Raw genomic sequence first — 20,261 nt, 5'->3', positions numbered from 1 at the left:
AGTTTTCTGGCTATAATCTATGAATAAACAAAACACGTATTTCCACTTATATAAACAGTATTACTTATAACCCAGAGCTCAGTTTAGAGTTCTTACCATGCCAATTCATCTACTCATTCTCCCCCAACAAATATTTACTAAAAACTTAATATGTGTAAGGCATTATATGAGCACTAAGATTACAGAACCTTACAAGTTGTGGTGCACCAGCAGTTGTGGAATTGAAAAATATATCTGCCCTCACTCAATATAGCTTTAGGGATAAATGTGAAAAGCCTGGAGGAAGGAAGTAGTCTTTTCTGGTCCTAAACTTAGAACTAAATCTATTTCCAAGATGACCTTACAGATTGGACCATCACATCCAGGGACCACCCTAGGGATTCAGTTCTCTAGCAGTTTCTAAAGTGAAACTTTCCACTGCTCCTGTTTAGTTCAGTCTGGTGCCACTATTTTTAAACAGCTTAATGATTTTCCTATTTTAGTGTAAGTAAAAACTAAACAAAATTGTACTTCTAATTCAAAAATTCTTACAAAATTCTAAGGAACTAAGGATATTAAATTTTTAACTTGAGGTCCAAGTTTATGAGTGATTAAAGCATAAATATATTTAAATTTTAAATCAGTTGGATAAAGAGTCAATGAAAACTAAAAATTAAATCTGTTATATTATTAAAATGAGTCTGATAAGAAGGAAAAACACAAATGCATTCTCAGAATTCTGTTCTGGCATTCCCATAATCAGTCAACTCAGCACCCCTTGAGAGTTGGGGGAACCCAGCCAGGCACGGTGGCTCACACCTATAATGCTAGCACTTTGGAAGCCAAGGCAGGCAAAGATCAGCCTGGGCAACATAGCAAACCTGGTATCTACCCCCCCCCCACACACACACACACAAACTATATAAAAATTAACTGGGCATGATGGTGCACTCCTGTAGTCCCAGATACTTGGGGGGCTGAAGTGGGAGAATCACTGAGCCCAGGGAAGTCGAGACTTCAGTGAGCTGTTATCAGACCTGGGCAACAGGGTGAGACTGTCTCAAAAAAAAAAAAAAAAAAGACAAGAGGGTGAGTTGGTGGAAACGAAATCCACAGCCAGAAATGTCATGGTCTGGTTTTTGGCTCCAAATCACTTTGAGATGAATTCATCTTAAGACAAGATTCCTATTTACCTTACCACTAAATAGTCATTAAAGAAGTGGAGCAGGTAATTATTAAGAGCTGGAGAAAGAAGGTTGAAAGGATGCTCCAAACCAAATTTAAGAAGCTGAGGCTGTAGCACCCACATTACAACTGGGTTACTTGATAGTCAAAACTGTGGAATCAACTGCCTAAACAGGATCTCCAGTTCTACGAAATACTACAAAAAAAAAGAAAAGAAAAAAACATTTAGACAGAATAAAGCCTGCAATGATTCAACCTCAAACACATTTTGTTAAATCAGGTGGATCTGGTTCTAGAAGTGACTTCTAAGGAAAAGGCTAAGCTGTAAAAACACTGAAAGTCAACTTACAGCTACTTCTCAATCAAAACTTCTACCAGTTTGGTTGAAATTGATGGCAGAGATGCAGCAGGAAACGCACCATTATATAAACCTTATTTTAAAAAGCACTAAAAAAATTTTCTCTAGTTACTTCAAGAATGGGAACTGTTATATTTTGCAATCTTCTCACAGAAATAAATCTGCCCTGTCTATATCTTACTAAATTTCATCCAAAAACACTAATGAAGCATATAGCAATTCAAAATAAATAATATCACATCAGATATAGAACTACCTGTTTATTCTTAGTGCCTGTCAGCACAGTGTCTAACTCATGGGCATTTAGTAAGTATTTGATTCAGATAACATATTGTCTAGCCAGAACGTGAAGTGCAGAAATTCTCTATTTCTAATTAAAAGAAATGCACATTCTAACAATCAAATGAGTAGTGGGGTCAGCTTGCTAAGGAATCCAATCCAGGCAACTCCCCAAAGTTTTTATTTCACAGCCCTCATGAAGGTGAGCTGAGGGAATATCAAAATTTTCCTCTGAAAACACTTCTGGTCTCAAACAGAGAGTCATTTAAGCAACTGAAAAACTCTGATTTATACGTCTCAAATTGGAAGATGGATACCCAAGAGTACATGCACCATGTGAAAAGAGGCATAATGACAAGGAAAAAATACAGTAAATCTCATATCCTCCAGTTTACTACCTGATGATCCATAATTTAAAGCATTTTATGTTAAAATAACCACAGCTCTATTACACACTGGGTGCCAATGTCACATGAATGTGATAATATCAGCTTAAAAAAATAAAAATATCTTTAAAGTTAGGTGCCCACCCCAAGGGCTTTAGCAGGTACATATTCGTGCTTCTTCCTTCCTGAGATACTTGGAAAATTTTGAGCAGGACTGCCACAAAAGGAAGCCACAATCATATTTCAAAATGAATTTTACATTAGCCATTTTTTAAAGTTTCCAGTATGTACCCATAAGATACCTGTTTTAAGAAAATAACTTACAGGAAATGAAATAAAATGGATAATTTATCTGTTTCATAGGTGTTTTAGAAGAAAACAAATTAAATGCTGCAACTTGTCTGGCAGAATAGAGGATTCTGATATTAAAGCAATAAACACTAAGCAGTTATTTGGGAAAATAATTAGATAGAAGATATCATTCCTAGATAATAAGGAATCTGTTCAGAAAGCCAATCAGGACTGTTGCAAAGTGTATCAAAGTGTCAGGTACACATTCCATCAAGAAGTGGATTATGATCATCAAGACTTTAAAGGGTGAAAAAATAATTTTTTAAATAAAAAGAAAAGCAAAACAATCTGACTTATCCTGACTGAAAATCATCTCATCTACCACAAGACCGTTCCTGCTGACTGCTTGGCATGTGTACTAAGACAGAAGTTATACAGACCTTGGAGCAAAGAGAGGGTGTTTACTGAGCTTGCTAAGCTTAGGTCATAGCTGGTTCCACTTCACATAGTCAAATGCCCAGGAAAAATCAATAAATCTGTGACTAGTCTTATGTTATTCTTAACAGATTTCAGAAGGAATGTCTGAAAAGGGCAGCCTTTAAAAAAAAAAAGAAGAAGAAAGAAAAAGAGAGAACATCTACATGTTAGTGTGGTTTCACAGGGCCCTACCTATAGAGTTAATAAGGGTAAACCAGTTGGCAAGAATCAGTGCCCACTATTGAGAGCTGACTTTGAGCAGTTCTAGAGGCAGAAAAATCTTTACGGAGTGCTTTATTTAGCTTGAGCATGTGAGTCATTTGTTCTGTATGAGGGAGAGCTACTGGCAACAAATGAGGAAGAGCCTTCGGATCAATAAATTTCAGACAGTTGACACTGGTTAATAGCTGGGGAGAAATACACTTCCCTGGGATCAAATGACATCTGAATTTCTACAATTTTACTAACTAAATTCATATAACAGGTTACCTCTTCCCAAATCAGGTCTTGTGGCCAGTTCCAGTGGCTAAGCTCAGGACTTCTAAGAAGTATTTTTTTATAGAAAATTAGAATTTTATACTAAGATCTAATATGATTTCACAGTTTTTACAAATTGTCTTTATCGTGATACTTCACCATCAGACCACATTTGTTTTGGGGTGTTTTTTTTTTTAATCTACCTAATAATTCTTACCAACTTTGGCTAAAAGAGTGAGTCTTGTATGAGTTCAAGGAGAAAACAAATTACACTGGTAGCCTGGGCAACATGGCAAAACCCCCATCTCTACAAAAAATAAAAAAATTAGCTGGGCATGGTGGTGCATGCCTGTAGTCCCAGCTACTCAGGAGGCTGCAATGGGAGGATCGCTTGAACCCAGGAGGTAGAGGCTGCAGTGAGCTGTGATCACACCACTGTAATCCAGCCTGGGCAACAGAGACTCCATCTCAAAAAAAAATTACACTGGTAAGTTTATCAGAAAAAAAAAAAAAAAACGGAGATATACACAGTAGGGTTTAAAAGAGCCTCCTATAGACAAAGGTCAATGATCCATCTCACTGTTTCACACTCCTGCCATGGTTGGATACTAAATCCAACCATTAGTGCATAAGATGTAGTGTGCACACTGCTGCTTAACTTATAATCAGCATTTATGACCACAGAAGACAGATGTAGAAAAATAAAGAACCTAAAGGTGACACATTGACAGATAATTCCCAACATACATAGATATTAAAGATGCTAGGTCTACATAGGACACAAGTTGTTGAGGATCCTTGCTGAGTTGCATATGCTCAGAAGCAATGTCTTTTTTAATTCAGGGCCATGGTGTGAGGGGTCAGATCCTGTGAGTAGAAATTCCACTGCCAGAAATTCAATGTGTTACGGCTGCTAGTGCCAAAGAACATGAAAAGCTTGAGTGTTCTTGCTCTGAGACTAAACATTTAGGAAGTTCTATGCCTGAAAGTAACAAGGAAAGACCATGGTTGAGAAACATGTAATAAAAATTAAATGGACAGAATCAGAGTAAAAAAAATCAACGTATTATGTCTAGAAAAGACAGAAAGACAAGGTTAGGAGATTTTTCTCTCTCTACAGCCTTTCTTATCTAATATAACATAATCATTCTGTGTTACAAATGAAATCTTAAAGTTGGCTGGGCTTGAGAATTCTCTATGAGATAAACTGTGGTGGGGAAAATGTTGACAGCAAGTAAACAAATTATTGCACGGCTACTTGGTTGGCAGCAACAGTGATTTTCTCTACTTGGAAACAGCGAGCTTCTCAAAAGAAGACGTACAAATGGCAAACAGGTATATGAAAAGGTGCTCAACATTACTGATCATCAGAGAAAGCAAATCATAATTACAACAAGATATCATCTCACCCCAGTTAAAATGGCTTTTATCCAAAAGAAAGGTAATGACAAACACTGGCAAGGATATGGCAAAAGGGGAACTCTCAAACACTGTTGGTGGGAATGTAAATTAGTACAACCACTATGGAGAACAGTAGGGAGGTTCCTCAAAAAACTAAAAATAGAACTACCGTATGATCCAACAATCCCACTGCTAGGTGTATCCCCAAAAGGAAGGAAATCAGGATAACAAAGATATAGCTGTACTCACATGTTTATTGCAGCACTATTCACAATAGCTAAGATTTGGAATCAACCTAAGTATCTATCAAAAGATGAATGGATGAAGAAAACGTGGTACGTATGCACAATGGAGTACTATTCAGCCATAAAGAAGAATGAGATCCTGTCATTTACAACAACATAGATGGAAAAAAGATATTATGTTAAGTGAAATAAGTCAGGCAGAGAGAGATAAACTTCACATATTCTCACTCATTTGTGGGAACTAAAAATTAAAATAATTGAACTCAGAGAGATAGAGAGTAGAATGATGGTTACCAGAGTCTGGGAAGGACAGTGGTGGGGGTGGGGTGGGGAATGGAGATGGTTAATGGGTACAAAAATACATAGTTTGATACAATAAGTAAGATCTGGCATTTGATAGCACAACAGGGTGACTACAGTCTGCAATAATTTGTTATACATTTTAGAATAACTGAGGGGGTACAATTGGAGTGCCTGTATCACAAAAAAATGATAAATGCTTGACGTGATGGATATCCCATTTACCCTGATGTGATTATTATATGTGTATGCCTGTATCAAAATCTCATATAACCCATAAATATATATACCTACTATATACTCATAAAAATTAAAAATAAAAAGTTACCAATAAGTACAAGAAAAGATACTCAATTATCACTAGTCATGAGGAGAAAAAGAAAACATGCTTCATTCCTTCTTTGGAATGCTCAAATATGACTCACACAGACAAATTTCCAACTACTTCATAGTGCCCCTCTATAGGTATGGAGAAAAATCTAAAGCTTTGCTCTTGTTCAAGTGTCTAATGACTCAGTTGAAAAAAACTCAGTTGCCTTATATCAACAAAGCATTAGTATTCCAGAACAACTGACAATAATGGCAACAAAAAGAGAGATCTCAGTCCTCAGAGGGAAAGCTCTTCTTTTTAATAATTGCCATTTTAAGATAATATGAAATATAACTTTATTAACAATATAAAAACCCACCACAGAGGAAAAATTATTACATACACTCATGGTAAGTAGTGTTAATATGATTAGAGTTTATAAGTTTAAACTTAAAATATCACATAAACATCTTACAAAATATTTAAAGAAGGATATAAAACTTCACGTTCATATAATATTGCTAAATTATTAAAATTGTAATAAAGTCATTATAAAATAAACAAGGCATAAATTTGTGCAATCCACTAAAAGTTATAGAATTTAAATAAACAATTTTTAAAATATAGTAGAATTTCACCTTAAAATAGACCTTAATGTTTAAAGGATGCCTCCTGATACACTGGAAGTTCTAGTTTCATGAAGCTCTTTTGAGAATAAAAGAACTATCGACATCCAGGAAAACATGAGAGAGAAACCCAAATAAAAATTTGGTTAACTTCTTCCCCCAAAACATCTTTTCCCCTTGGAAAGTCTATACATTACTAAGCTATTGCAGAATGAAGGGAAAGTTTCAGATGAGATTTTCCTATATTATACATTGGCCTTAAGTCTACCGAAATAATGTAGATAGATAGATAGATAGATAGATAGATAGATAGATAGATAAAGATATTTTAAGAGTAACTATTCATATTTACTTAGTAAATGTTTGGTGAATTGTATACTGGAAACAAGAAGCACAGTACAATTTCAGTAGTAATAGTAAAATGTACTTCTGCTTTTAGAAGAACTACAGCTCCCTGAGAGATTCAAGAATTCAGGGACATATATATACCTTTGGGGTTCCTTTTGACTTTGGAGTTATACAAGTAATACTTGTTCATTACAGAATAATGAAGTAGATATAAGTAATCAACAGGAAGAAAAAAGATTAAATTACCTGTAATCATATGGTCCTTAGGTAAATGTTTTTCCTCCTACAGCTATTTTAGACACATAAAATATACATAACAAAAAGGTTCACATGAAATATACCATTTTAAAAGCCACATTTTGGCCAGGCACGGTGGCTCATGCCTGTAATCCCAGCCCTGTGGGAAGCCGAGGCAGGCAGATCACGAGGTCAAGAGATCAAGACCATCCTGACCAACATGGTGAACCCCGTCTCTACTAAAAATACGAAAATTAGCTGGGCATGGTGGCGCAGGCCTGTAGTCCCAACTACTCGGGAGGCTGAGGCAGGAGAATCACTTGAACCCAGGAGGTGGAGGTTGCAGTGAGCTGAGATCACGCTACTGCACTCCAGCCTGGCAACACAGCAAGACTCCATCTCAAACAAACAAACAAACAAAAAATGCATTTGCTTGTGTTTTGATGATAAATTACTAAAAGTGGAATTTCTAAGGCAAAGGGAATCGATCTACCTTGTTAAAGCTTCTGATACATATTGACAATTTGTCTTCCACAAAGACTGTATGAATATAAATTTCCACCAGCTTAGAGGCAGGTGGGTGCCCATAGCATTCAATCCATTTGCCTATTTTCTCTGGGCTTTCATTCAGTGTCATTCTTCTCTCTTGGAATGTCTTTCTCCTCCTATTTCTACCACGTGGTCTGCAGGAGTACAAGAAAAAAGTTATAATTCTCCTCATGACTACTAGCAGCACCAATTTTTGTCTCTATTCCTGCCCACATTATTTTCCTGGTGAGGACTAGACTATACCTCCCCATCACCCTCCACCACCACCACCACCAGTCCCTTCTCTACCTGCTGACTAGCTGCTTTCCAGAGTAAGGGAAGATGGTGATATGTGTGCGAGAGTGCAGAAAAAGGGGGCGAAGTACTCTGTTTCATTTACAGAATGGAACCCCAGGGGTAAAGAGGAATAGCTGTTAATAACTGCAGTTATCAACATACTGTACTATGTGTAGAAGCTTAGTTTTTTCTCAATCTAACTTCACCTCAGTTTCTAGCATTAAACTGTCATTCCTAAGTTTTGGAACAGTTATAAAATTTTTCCTTCCACATTTGCATGAGTATTTTAATACAAGATTAGTCAAGGCTAAACTGAGCTACTAGCCAGATAAAATTTTAACTAAAAAATCTTCATGACTTTTGTTTGGCAGCTGGTGAACCACCTTTTTCCCTCCTGAGAAAGAACTCCATGTATCAGAAAACACTTCAATACCATCAAATTTTAATTCGATAAAGATTAGAATAAATTAGGGATTTGTCAGTCTCTTTAAATACATAGAACAAAAAAGGGTCACTAAAATGTAAAGCTCTTTCTAAGAAAACTTTAGAGATAAAAATCCAATTTACTTCCTCAGTCACTGGATAGAGAATCTATGCCCCAGCAAAATGATCTGAAATGCGTAAGATGAGAAAGAAAATAAGCAGCAGAGTTCCCATCTTCTCCTTCGAAATGTAATCTCTTCATATAGTGAATGTCATGCAAGGCTTGAAGTCAAAATGCTCTTTGCAGGACAGTAGTAAATACTGATATTTTAAATTCTATCATACAAACTATCATTTTAGATGAAATTATGTATTTAGTAATTCTAAGTTTAAATTGCTATTAATGTTTGGTTTATTTTAATTGAATATAAAATAATGATGACGACTACAAATATCTAAAGAACAGTTATAAAAGTAGATATTATCAGTTGTTTACAAGTTTTTTTCCTTGAATAACCATTTTTTCCTCATACATACATTTTACCTGCCTAATACTTGCTTGAAAATTAATGGTGGCTCTTTCTAGAATTTAAGGAAAATTTTGGAATGAAAAACCTAAAATTCCATCAGCTTTTTTCCCCTACAAACTGTGAAAAGACCACCATTATTCAATGTTGGCAGCATAACACTTCTGCTCAGTTCCAGGAAGGGTCACATGGAGCACAAATTGAAAAATACAGGTTTGTACCATGCTGAGCTCTACATGCTTCAAGGTCCTGTAACTTTGGAGACCTAGAAGGAGCAGAAAGAAACTGCACTCCTTTAGGGGATAAAAAACATTTAAATATATCTGGACCTAAAACATTAAAATATATTTGATGTATTTACATATTTTCATAACAGGTATAAGTCATAATTGAATTTCTGTGGTGAAAATTTAACCCAACTTTAGCAATGAAAAGATGCCTACAGGCTAGAAAAGCATTTATATGTGAAGGGAATGCTTTCACTATAATTGGTTCATACCATAATTTGGCAACTCATATAAGGTAGCTCAATACTATATTTACCTTCCTTTCTCTCCTTAGCAAAAACAAAAGAATTTAGATATATTAAAGTATTCTCAATATATAACTATCAAACAGAAATATTTACATATGTGGCTGTTTAGAATTATCCCTAAGATGTCCTTTTAGCTCTAAAACTTAGGTGCGGCATCACCCCCACCTTATAATTGCAAAATATTAAAAAACTGCAGCTCAATTTATAATAAAAAAGTAAACATTTAAAAATAAGATTAATACAATATTTTTCATTACCTTTAAAACTCTTCTTTCACATCTGACATACTGGGCATGATTAATGTTCAACTCCAGTAAAAACATAATATATACTTGGTTTTAAACTTTATAAAGTGATTTTGTAACTAGAAATTTGGGATGGTAAAAGGAAACATATACACTTCAATTTTTCTCCTGAACTTCCATGCTTAAAAAAAAAATTATGGTTTCATTTATTGCCTTCAGCGTTTTGGAAATACATTTCCAAATATGTAACATTTAAAATATGTGAGGGATACAGGTGAGTTGCTAGTTAAAGACTACATTATCATCAGCAGAATTGCTGACTTAATAACATAGCTGGTCCAGATTAGTAAAGGAATCCCTGCCTAATATCAGTAATACGTTCCTGAAAATCAAATGGGTGGGAAAATATAATGGCAAGCTTATTTCCCATCACTTTAGATGGGAAAAATTACAATGTGGAATATATCATCTAAAACCCTCAACCAATTTCTTAAGACATAACTAAAACACAGTAAAAACACCTATATATAAGTAGCAAACTATTATGTGAGCATGTTTAACTTGTTTCCTGATCACCAATTACTATGGTTGTTAATCACTAGCTGCTTTGTAGCAGTAATATGGTCTCCCTTGGTACCAGCAATATCCAAAATGCACAACATTTCTGATGGCAGTGAGTATACCATTCAAAATGTTTACTTATGACTCTGACAATCTATTAATTTCATTTAAAATTGAACTCCAGACTATTTCCAATTGTTTTGAGTTTAGAAAGACATAAATATAAATGTCTTCTATATAGACACAGACTGAAGAGCTTTACTGAGATATACATATAAATACATTTCCATGAAGTCTGGGCATGAAAAACAGGGGCTCTACCAAGAAAAGATTATCCAGGGAGATAGCATTATAAGCACATCTGTCAAACATCGGTGCAGACATTTTCAGCTGCAAGTAACATAAACCTAGCTAAAAGTGGCTTAAACTTTAATGCGGGAATTTATTATCTCACCTAAAAAGTCCAGAGGTAAACAGCTCCCAAATTAGTGAATATGTCAGTTCAACAATGTCATCATGGTTGCTTCCTCCTTTTACTCTGCCATCTTCGACATGTGACCTCTGTCTCAAGCTAGCTCTCCTAAGCAAAGTTGGCAATGATAGATAAAACATCATCAGCCATTTCATCCAGATCAAATAACTGCCACGAGAAGAGGTGGCAGTCTCTTCTGTCTGTATCTGCCCATGAGTCTCTCAGTTGATCTTCCTTCATGTCGCAGTCAGAAATGTGATGGGTGCCCATTCCTAAGCCAATCACTGGCAAGGTGAATTAGACTACCGTGACTGGCTTAGGCAAATGAGCACTGACTTTCTGGGGCTGGGAATAAGGTTGGCTCTCCTAAAACGCATGGTCAAGCAGAGGTAGGGAAGTAAAGGAAGCCCCTCCTCCCCAGAGTAAGGCAGGCTTAGTCTGAATGCTTACTAATTTGCATTTATATAACTAAATAAAGTAAGTATAATTTAAATCCAAGTAATAGATAAGTTAACAAAGACTTATTTTCATTGGAGAAAATACCTTAATAGAAGATATTACCAAGTTTTCTAACCAAATATTAAATGGTTTACAAGTCATTACAAAAGCTATTAACAATATACAGACTGAGGATCAGCTTTTTGATAGTCATGTGCTTACAATTTTATAAAATACGCAGCGGGTTAGATGTCCTTTAGGAGGTTACAACATAATTGGCAAGACATACAAAAATAAAGGCGTAAATAACATTACAAAACAATAATATAGGAGCTGCTACAAAATACCATGTGATTAAGAAGCAAATAAATGATAGAAGATTTACAACATGAGATCAAAAAGAGAGCTATCTAGAAACTGAGGAAGCCTCGAGACAGATTTCATCTGAGATCTTGACACTGAACACGACACAGACAAAATGAAACAAGCTGGGCACTCTGCATGAGGAAACACGGGGCTGAGGGCAAGGCAGCAGAAAAACACCTTGGATTCGGATAATCAGTGAAAAGGCAAACCATGAGCAAATAATCACTACTAATTATAAGTAAGTTTTCCTTTTTAAGATAACAAGTAAAAAGGTTCTCACATTCTACTTTCTGACGCCAAACTAGTAAAGGTACCCAATGAGATATGCCCCACCTGACAACAACTCTCCCACCTTTACCATTAAGATAAAAATATCCTAAGAAATCACAGCCCAAGGAGCTAGTAAACCAAAGCAACATCTAAAAAAGTAATTCTTAATATTTTGGGGGTTACAGATCTTTGAGAATCTGATGTAATGCAGGGAATGTTCTCCCCCCAAAAATACAAACCTAAAATTTTACATGTAGTGTCAGAAGTTTCCAGACCACTGCATGCAGCCCTCCAAACTCAACATGGGTTAAGAACCCCTAACATAGCAACAGCAACAGGGACAATGGCTGCTTATCTCAGTTATCAACTTCTTCAAGCCATCCATCAACAAGCTATTTCAGGGGTTACAGTTTTCCTTTGGTGCTGCCAAGCATATTTTCAGCTGGTGCATCAGGAAATGATGGATGCCAGAAATAAAAATAAGTCGTTCCATAAATTTACAGCTTAGTTATTTGACTTAGAATACTTAAAATTTTCAGAGCAATTACTCCTTTAAATCAGTAACACTATAGTGTAAACCTTGAATATCATGTATTTAATACTTATCATTAAAAATATGTGTGTGTATGTATAGTCATAAAAGTACATATCATTTTTGATGGAAATACCGGTTGTAGGAAGTGAATCCTTTTCAAATTTAACTGACAACCAGAGTTTGGCAGCAATTCTCTTTAATAATGTTCTGCTAGTTAATGCACACTTTAAACACTTCAGCTTTTAGTGGGTGTGAATAGACTTTCTGGTGGACTGATCATATAAGCATAGATCGGCCTTCCAGTCTGAGTTGAGGGAAGGCCTATATGTGGCCCTGGCAGGGTGCACACCATTCCTTTGCCTACAACATACATCATTAGTGATCCCCAAATTCTCTCCAGCTAAACTAAGTGCTACCTCAGAATCATTCTCCCAAGCATTTCACTGAACTGCCCAGGGTCAGCAAAAGAATTACAAGTTCTTTGTACTCCCTTTTGTCAGTGCAGATCTGTGTACAGTTTCCTTTTGCTTCATCTCCTGCAACAATGTAATGAAGACACCATGATATCATTAACATTTCACACAAAAGGAAAATGAGGCTGAAATGGTAAGTAGCCTGCTCAAAATCACACAGCAAGTAAATGACAGAACTTAAATAGAATCCAAATACTATTATTTCCAGTTCAGTACCTGTATTACTTAGGGCTTGGTTCATCCGCAAATCACATAATAAAATAGTTGCTCAAACAGAACAGAACTTTGTGTCTCACATAAAGGAAGTTCAAAGGAAAGTTCAAAGGACTGGTATGGCAACTTCACAACTCTTTGACTTCACTCTTCAGCTATCCTTACAACGTACCCTAGTTCTCATGGTCTTAGATGCTGGCTAGAATTCTACATAATCATCATATCCACATTCCAGGATAAGGGAAGTGGGGGCAGGGGAGAGGAGTAAGGAAGGTACACAGCAGTGTGTTTTTAAAAGATTTCCTAGAATCTGCAACACAACATTTCTTCTTATATCCCATTGGCCAGAAACTTCATCATAATCTTCACACCTAACTGGAAAACGGCCACATGGAAAGATAAAGGGGGAAACAGATATTGAGGGACTAGTAGTGTCTGCCCCATATCACAGTGAAGCTAAAGAAGATTTAAAAGGTTAAATTATCAGGTGTTCAGAAAAATAACTTTGCAGCATGATGGTTCTGGAAAGTTTATTAATTTGTTGTTGTGGTTTCTCTGACTTACTCTGTCAACCTCGTATGAGTATACGTGCATGCCTTCTCAGTAATGCATTCAGGACATGATGCTGCAATTAGTTTTTTCATTAAAAGATAATTCTCAATCTTGCTGAAACTATAAAAATTATCTACATTTTTAAAAAATTGTCAATAAATTTCTGATAAAAAATACAAAAAAACAAAACCCATAACTTTACTGCTTTAAAATGGTCTGATAGTTCCTTACTGCCAATGGGATAACATTCTAACATTTGAGAAGGCCACACAAGGCCCACAAACCATGTTTCTGGACACACTTCCCAATAGTGGCCCTGATACACCCTCTCTATTCAGCCAAGAATACTGGCCCTGCCTATGTATCAGATTCTTCTGAAGCTATATAACTTTACACAATCTGCCCCACCACCTAGAATAGTTTTGCTCCTCTACCATACCTTATAAAAATAATTATTCCAGCAATTCTCAGACATCAGTATGCATAAAAATACTGTAGAGTAAAACAGTCAACTCTTCCCAAGTAGCTATACTAAATGCATTGCTTGCTTAAAATGCTGATTCTCTGGCTATAGCTCCCAAAATTCTGTTTCACTAGGTGTGGGCAAGGCCCAGGAATCTGGAGCATCCCTAACCAAGCAGGAGAGCACCTGGGATAGAGAAAGTGCTCAAGAATGTTCACTTACTGATTACTACAATCAAAAAAAGATACGACACTAATTTACCACATTCTTCTTACTTATTTTATGAGATACTATTCTTCCAAGGTAAGACCATAATTCTATCATGATATAATGAAGGAAGAAAACACTTAAATTTTTTTCTTTTTCAGATCAGGAGTGAAAGTTTATTAAAAAGCTTTAGAATAGTACGGAAAGGAAAGAAAAGAAGAAAAGTACAACTTCGAAGAGGGTCAGGCAGGCAACTTGAGAAACCAAGTGGGCCAACACTTAAATTTTTTAGAAATTCACATTTATAAAGATTAATGTGGCCGGGCACGGTGGCTCACGCCTATAATCCCAGCACTTTGGGATTACAGGGGCGGGCGGATCACGAGGTCAGGATATGGAGACCATCCTGGCCAAAGTGGTGAAACTCCTTCTCTACTAAAAATACAAAACTTGGTGGGCGTGGTGGCGCACACCTGTAGTCCCAGCTACTCGGAAGGCTGAGGCAGGAGAATCGCTTGAACCCATGAGGCAGAGGTTGCAGTGAGCTGAGATGGCACCACTGCACTCCAGCCTGGAGACAGAGCAAGACTCCGTCTCAAAAAAAAAAAAAAGATCAATGTGTAAACCCAATAATAATTCTTCCCTTCATAATATGCATTGGTTGCATGCAATGAATAAAAAAAACAGATGCTCAATATGATAATTACTTAAGTATAAAAGAATATTGTAGTACTAAGATTACCAGAAAGACATTCAGGTCTTCCAACCCTATATGAATTACTCATACAAGGTAGAATATTCATACTGTACATTTTACTTAGAGTCTCATCCTCATTATCTATATCTTTAATATAATGAAATAATAAAGTTTAAATAAATATGAAAGCCACTCATCATAATTTTTGAGTTAAATCTGACAAAATGTGAAGTTACAGCATTAGTAAAGCCTGTAAGGAAACAGTAGGAGAAATTCCATGTACATAACATGGTATGCATACTTACAATGTTTTCCCTACAGATGTTGTATGGAATAAGCACCCTTCAAGGAAATAGTACCATAGTGAAACAGTCAACTACCCCCAAATAGTTGTATTAAAACATGGCTGCTTGAATGCGTTAGTCTGATTTTTAAAAGGTACCTCAGATGTTGGTTTGAAAAGTTTACGGGTGTTAATCTGTCAAATAATTTCACATAAATTCATAGTTGTACTATGGCTAAAGCCAGAAAGAGTCATAGATCAGTTGGAATTCACATTGTATAATTAATTTAATAAAATGCTTCCCAGTTGTTCCACTGATTTTTCAAAAAACATCTAAGGTTTCAAAAACTGTCAGCCCTCCGTATCCATGAGTTCCTCATGGGTGGATTCAACCAACAGTGGATCAAAATTATTCAGAAAAAAAAATTGCTTGTGGTTGCCAAGCGTGGTGGCTCAGGCCAGTAATCCCAACACTTTGGGAGGCCGAAAGGGGTGGATCACTCAAGGCCAGAAGTTCAAGACCAGCCTGGCCAACATGGTGAAACCCCATTTCTACTAAAAATACAAAAAAAAAAAATTAGCCGGGAATGGTGGCACACGCCTGTAATCCCAATTACTTGGGACTCTGAGGCATGAGAATTGCTTGAACGCGGGAGGCAGAGGTTGGAGTGAGTCAAGATTGTGCCACTGCCACCAGCCTGGGTGATGGAGTGAGACACTGTCTCAAAAAAAAAAAAAATTGCATCTGTGCTAAACATGTACAGGCTTCTTTTCTTGTCATTATTCCTCAAACAATACAGTAAAACAACTGTTTACATAGCATTTACATTGCATTAGGTATTTTAGTAATCTAGGGATGATTTAAAGTATATGGGAGGATGTATGTAGGTCACATGCAAAAACTATGCTCTTTTATATCAGAGCGTTGAGCGTCAATGGATTTTGGTATGAGCGGGGGTCTTGGAACCAATTTCCCACAGATACCAAGGGAAAACTGTATATTACTCATAGAAAATGAATTTTGGCTGGAAGCAGTGGCTCACGCCTATAATCCCAGCTGTTTGGGAGGCCAAGGCAGGCGGATCACCTGAGGTCAGGAGTTTGAGACCGGCCTGGCCAACATGGTGAAACCCTGTCTCTATCCAAAATACAAAAATTAGGCAGGTGTGGTGGTGCATGCCTGTAATCCCAGCTACTTGGGAGGCTGAGGCAGGAGAATCACTTGAACCCAGGAGGCGGAGATTGCAGTGAACAGAGACCATGCCACTGCACTCCAGCCTGGGCAACAAGAGCAAAAACTCCGTCTAAAAAAAAGAAAAGGAAAAGAAAACAAATTTCATTTCATAGGATCATGTATGAAGCTTTCTGCTCTTTTTCTATTTAATGATTTAATATATTGAAGGAAATGTAATTACCCAGAAATTCTGTGGTTTTATTTGCTTTTTGTTTATGGCTCAACTAAAAAAGAAACTGTAACTTTATATTTTATGAAGTCTTTTTCAAAGTGTCTCAACACATTATTTGATGACATACAATTATTAGAGAGTGAACTGTAGTGCTTCTCAGCCTTGCATGAACTCTAGAATCATCTGGAGAACTCTGGGGGGAAAAAATCAATTCCTGGGCCTAATCCCAGGACCTTTTAATCAGAATCTAGGAATGGGTCCCAGCACCAGTATTTTTTTCTAAGTATCCCCTAATGCACAGAAGGGTTAGAATCACAGAGAGATAGATCCCTAATTTACGTTTGAGTCAACTAAATCCACTGAGTCCCCGAAAAAAATGAATGACTTTCCCACAATTAACTGTGCCAAACAGAAGGCTCAGTTCTGCCTCTGAGTACAGTTGGCACCTCTCCTCTTCCTTCATGCAATTGCCTTTCACTGTACATTCAAGGAGTTAAGGAAGGGTGGTGTACCCCACACGGGGATGGCCTAACCTAACTTTTTCACCTCCGAAAAACTGAAACTGAAACGCTGCTAGATTAACAGGTAAACCAGAATCAGGTAACAGTGACTGAAAATACTGTTAATTCTATCCATTAGACACACAACTCCACATTTCTTAATAGAAAAACAAGCATCTACATCATGAAGTTAGTTGAAAAATCCTGGCATACTTGCTTTGCAATTTAAAGGTCAAAAGTAAAAACACAAAAACTGCTAAGTAAATTAAATGTAAATCGAGTTTTTCTGGATATCCCGATACGTGGGTAAGGAGACAGCGATAGGGTAAGTTACTTTTTAATCCATAAACACTCTAATTTTTTAAAGATCTGGTATACATTTTTTGTAAGAACAGGCAATAAAAATAGGAAGCACATGTTGAAAACCTGTTTAGTTTTTGTCACTGTTTTAATTAAAGCCTTCAACCCTAGACAGAATCAAAGTGACTTACTGTCCCTCATTCCTTAGAATGTAAATTTTTATGTATACAGCTAAATTTCCACTTTTAAATAAAGGAAACAACACAGCGATGAAGAGACTACCTTTAAAAGTTCCATATAAAAATATGATAGTTTAAATGAAGTATGTATATGTGGTTTGGTTCCCAGAATGAGGAATTCCATAGGAGATAATCTTAAAAATAACTCACTTATTTTCAATATCTGACTGATCATTGAGACTGGAAAACAGAAGGTGAGACTAAATTACATATTTCAATGTGTTTTAAGTATTTTAAAAGGTGAAATCCAAGCTGCTGTGAATTATTAAATTCTGGTTCTAAATTCAGCAAGTGTTACAAAATAATTAGCTTAATGGAAACTAGAAGTTCTTATGCCCTACTTGAAGAAGCACCTGCATATTCTGAAAACCATGATGCATTTCCCTTGTACTGTAACCCAATTCCTTTAATCTCTACAATAGTGTTTGCCCAATTTCATTCTGCCTGCTTCAAAGTTATATTCAATATTTGGTCAACAATATTAGTGAACCAACAACAATATCTAAATTGTTCCTTTTCATTTATATCCTATTACTTTTTGTTGTTATTTTTCCTTCTTTTTGCTATAACATAATAAGCTAATTCATGCTTTTGTCTTAGTTTTGGAAGGAATTATATCCTAACATTTACGCAATATCCCTTTTCCTAACTTAAAATAACTATGAGCTTGCCACTACACTAGTAAATTTGTAATCAACTTAAAGATAATGTCTTAAAAGTACAATTAAACATGTCATAACAGGAGAAAACCCTGGTAATTACGAATAGTGCCATGCTTGCTGGATTTTTAAATAGTAGTATAAGGCTATGAAAAATCGCCACCCAGTGATGCAAATGAAAACTGCAATTTGTTTTTGTGTAAAATGAGTACCCTGGAGGATTACTTCAACTTCATTACTGAATGAAGGAATAGCTATTACCTTCTTACGTGAATAGGAACTGGTTACAAGGGAAAGGATGTTTTTCTACAAGAACTTTTTTCCCTTATTCTTATTCGGCACCACTAGACATTTTACAGAGGCTAAAAGCTTTCGAAATCTTAATGCGGAGAAAGGTTTTCTGTCCAAATGTGAGCTAACTGTATATGAACAGCCCAGATATTCCTATTACCAAAACAAGTGTCTAGACTCTGCCCAGACCTGAATTTCAAGTCATGATGTGTTGATTCCATCAACTCTGCAATGCCATCTAATAATTGTGACCTAAAACCTATTTGTGTTAAGCAGAAATGCTTGCCTAGGGGAAAAGGTATTCTCAAGTGGAAAAAAATAGATAATTTATAGCTTAAACAACATAATTTACTCTGACCTTTCTAGAAATGGGTTATAAAGGCCACATAAGGAGATAATCTAACAAATTCTGTGGTGTCCATATTGATAAAAAGTTGTTGCTACAAATATAATCATGTTTATAAGTTTTTACTTAGCTTTATCATTTAGACATCAACAAACACACAAACCAACAAAATATATTTATTTTTCTGTAATGTACGTATTGCACACGATGCCACAAAAAAAGTTATGTGGATATATGCTAACCATGATACATGTGTATGCAACTAAAAAAACTATCAGAACTAATAAATAAATTCAGTAAGGTTACGGCATACAAAATCAACATACAAAAATCAATAGCATTTTTATATGCCAACAGCAAACAATTTGAAAAAGAAACCAAGAAAGTAATCCCATTTATAAAGCTACCAGTAAAATAAAATACTTAGGAATAAATATAACCAAAGTGAAAGATCTCTAAAATAAAAATTATAAAATACTGATGAAAGCAACCAAAGAGAACACACATAAAAAAAAATGGAAAGATATTCCAAATTTATGGATTGGAAGAATCAGTATTGTTAAAATGTCCATACTACCCAAAACAATCTACAGATTCAATGCAATCACTATCAAAATACCAAAGACATTCTTCACAGAAATGGAAAAAATAATCCTAACATTTATATAGAATCACAAAAGACCCAGAGAAGCCAAAACTGTTCTAAGCAAAAACAACAAAATTAGACGAATCACACTACCTGACTTCAAATTATACTAAAAAGCTATAGTAACTAAAATAGCACAGTACCGGCATAAAAACAGACACATGGACGAATGGAACCAAATACAGAACCCAGGAATAAATTCACACATTTACAATGAACTCATTTTCAACAAGGGTGCCAAGGATATACATTGGGAAAAGGAAGTCTTGAATCAGTGGTGCTGGGAAAACTGGATATCTATATGCAGAAGAATAAAACTAGACCCCTATCTCTCGCCACATACAAAAATCAAATCAAAATGGATAAAATACGTAAATCTAAGACCTGAAACTACGAAACTACTAGAAGAAAGCATTGGGCAAATGCTACAGGACAGTAATCTGAACAAAGATTTCTTGAGTAATACCCCACAAGCACAGGCAACCAAAGCAAAAATGGACAAATGGGATTACATCAAGTTAAAAGGCTTCTGCACAACAAAAGAAATGATTAATCAACAGTAAAGAGACAACCCACAGAATGGGAGAAAATATTTGCAAACTACTCATCTGACAATGGATGAACAATCAGTATATATAAGGAACTCAAACAACTCAACAGGAAAAAATAAAATAATCCAATTTTAAAATGGGCAGGCCAGGCATAGCAGCTCACGCCTGTAATCCCAGCACTTTGGGAGGCAGAGGCAGGAAGATGGCTTGAGCCTAAGAGTTCGAAAGTGGCCTGAGTAACATAGTGAGTTATTGCCTCTTAATATGTGTGTGTGTATATATATATATATATATATTTATCTATAAATTAAATATATAAATATATATTTATCTATAAAT

General features: G+C 35.9%; 2 protein-coding genes across 4 annotated transcripts in view; one reads left to right on the top strand and one right to left on the bottom strand.

Annotated features, from left to right (window-relative positions):
- Positions 1–20,261, top strand: part of RPA3 (replication protein A3) — an 82,090-nt gene that overhangs the window by 18,678 nt on the left and 43,151 nt on the right. Inside the window, exons 3-4 of the mRNA NM_002947.5 lie at positions 12,602–12,702; positions 13,932–14,100. The gene's annotated coding sequence lies outside the window, so the exon portion shown is untranslated. The remainder of the gene's footprint in view (positions 1–12,601; positions 12,703–13,931; positions 14,101–20,261) is intronic.
- Positions 1–20,261, bottom strand: part of UMAD1 (UBAP1-MVB12-associated (UMA) domain containing 1) — a 238,472-nt gene that overhangs the window by 179,294 nt on the left and 38,917 nt on the right. The window lies entirely within an intron of this gene.

This window comes from Homo sapiens, chromosome 7, assembly GCF_000001405.40.
Source record: "Homo sapiens chromosome 7, GRCh38.p14 Primary Assembly".
Lineage (NCBI taxonomy): Eukaryota > Metazoa > Chordata > Mammalia > Primates > Hominidae > Homo > Homo sapiens.
The sequence above is the reverse complement of the archived record's forward strand: the minus strand, read 5'-3'. Positions and strand labels throughout refer to the sequence as shown.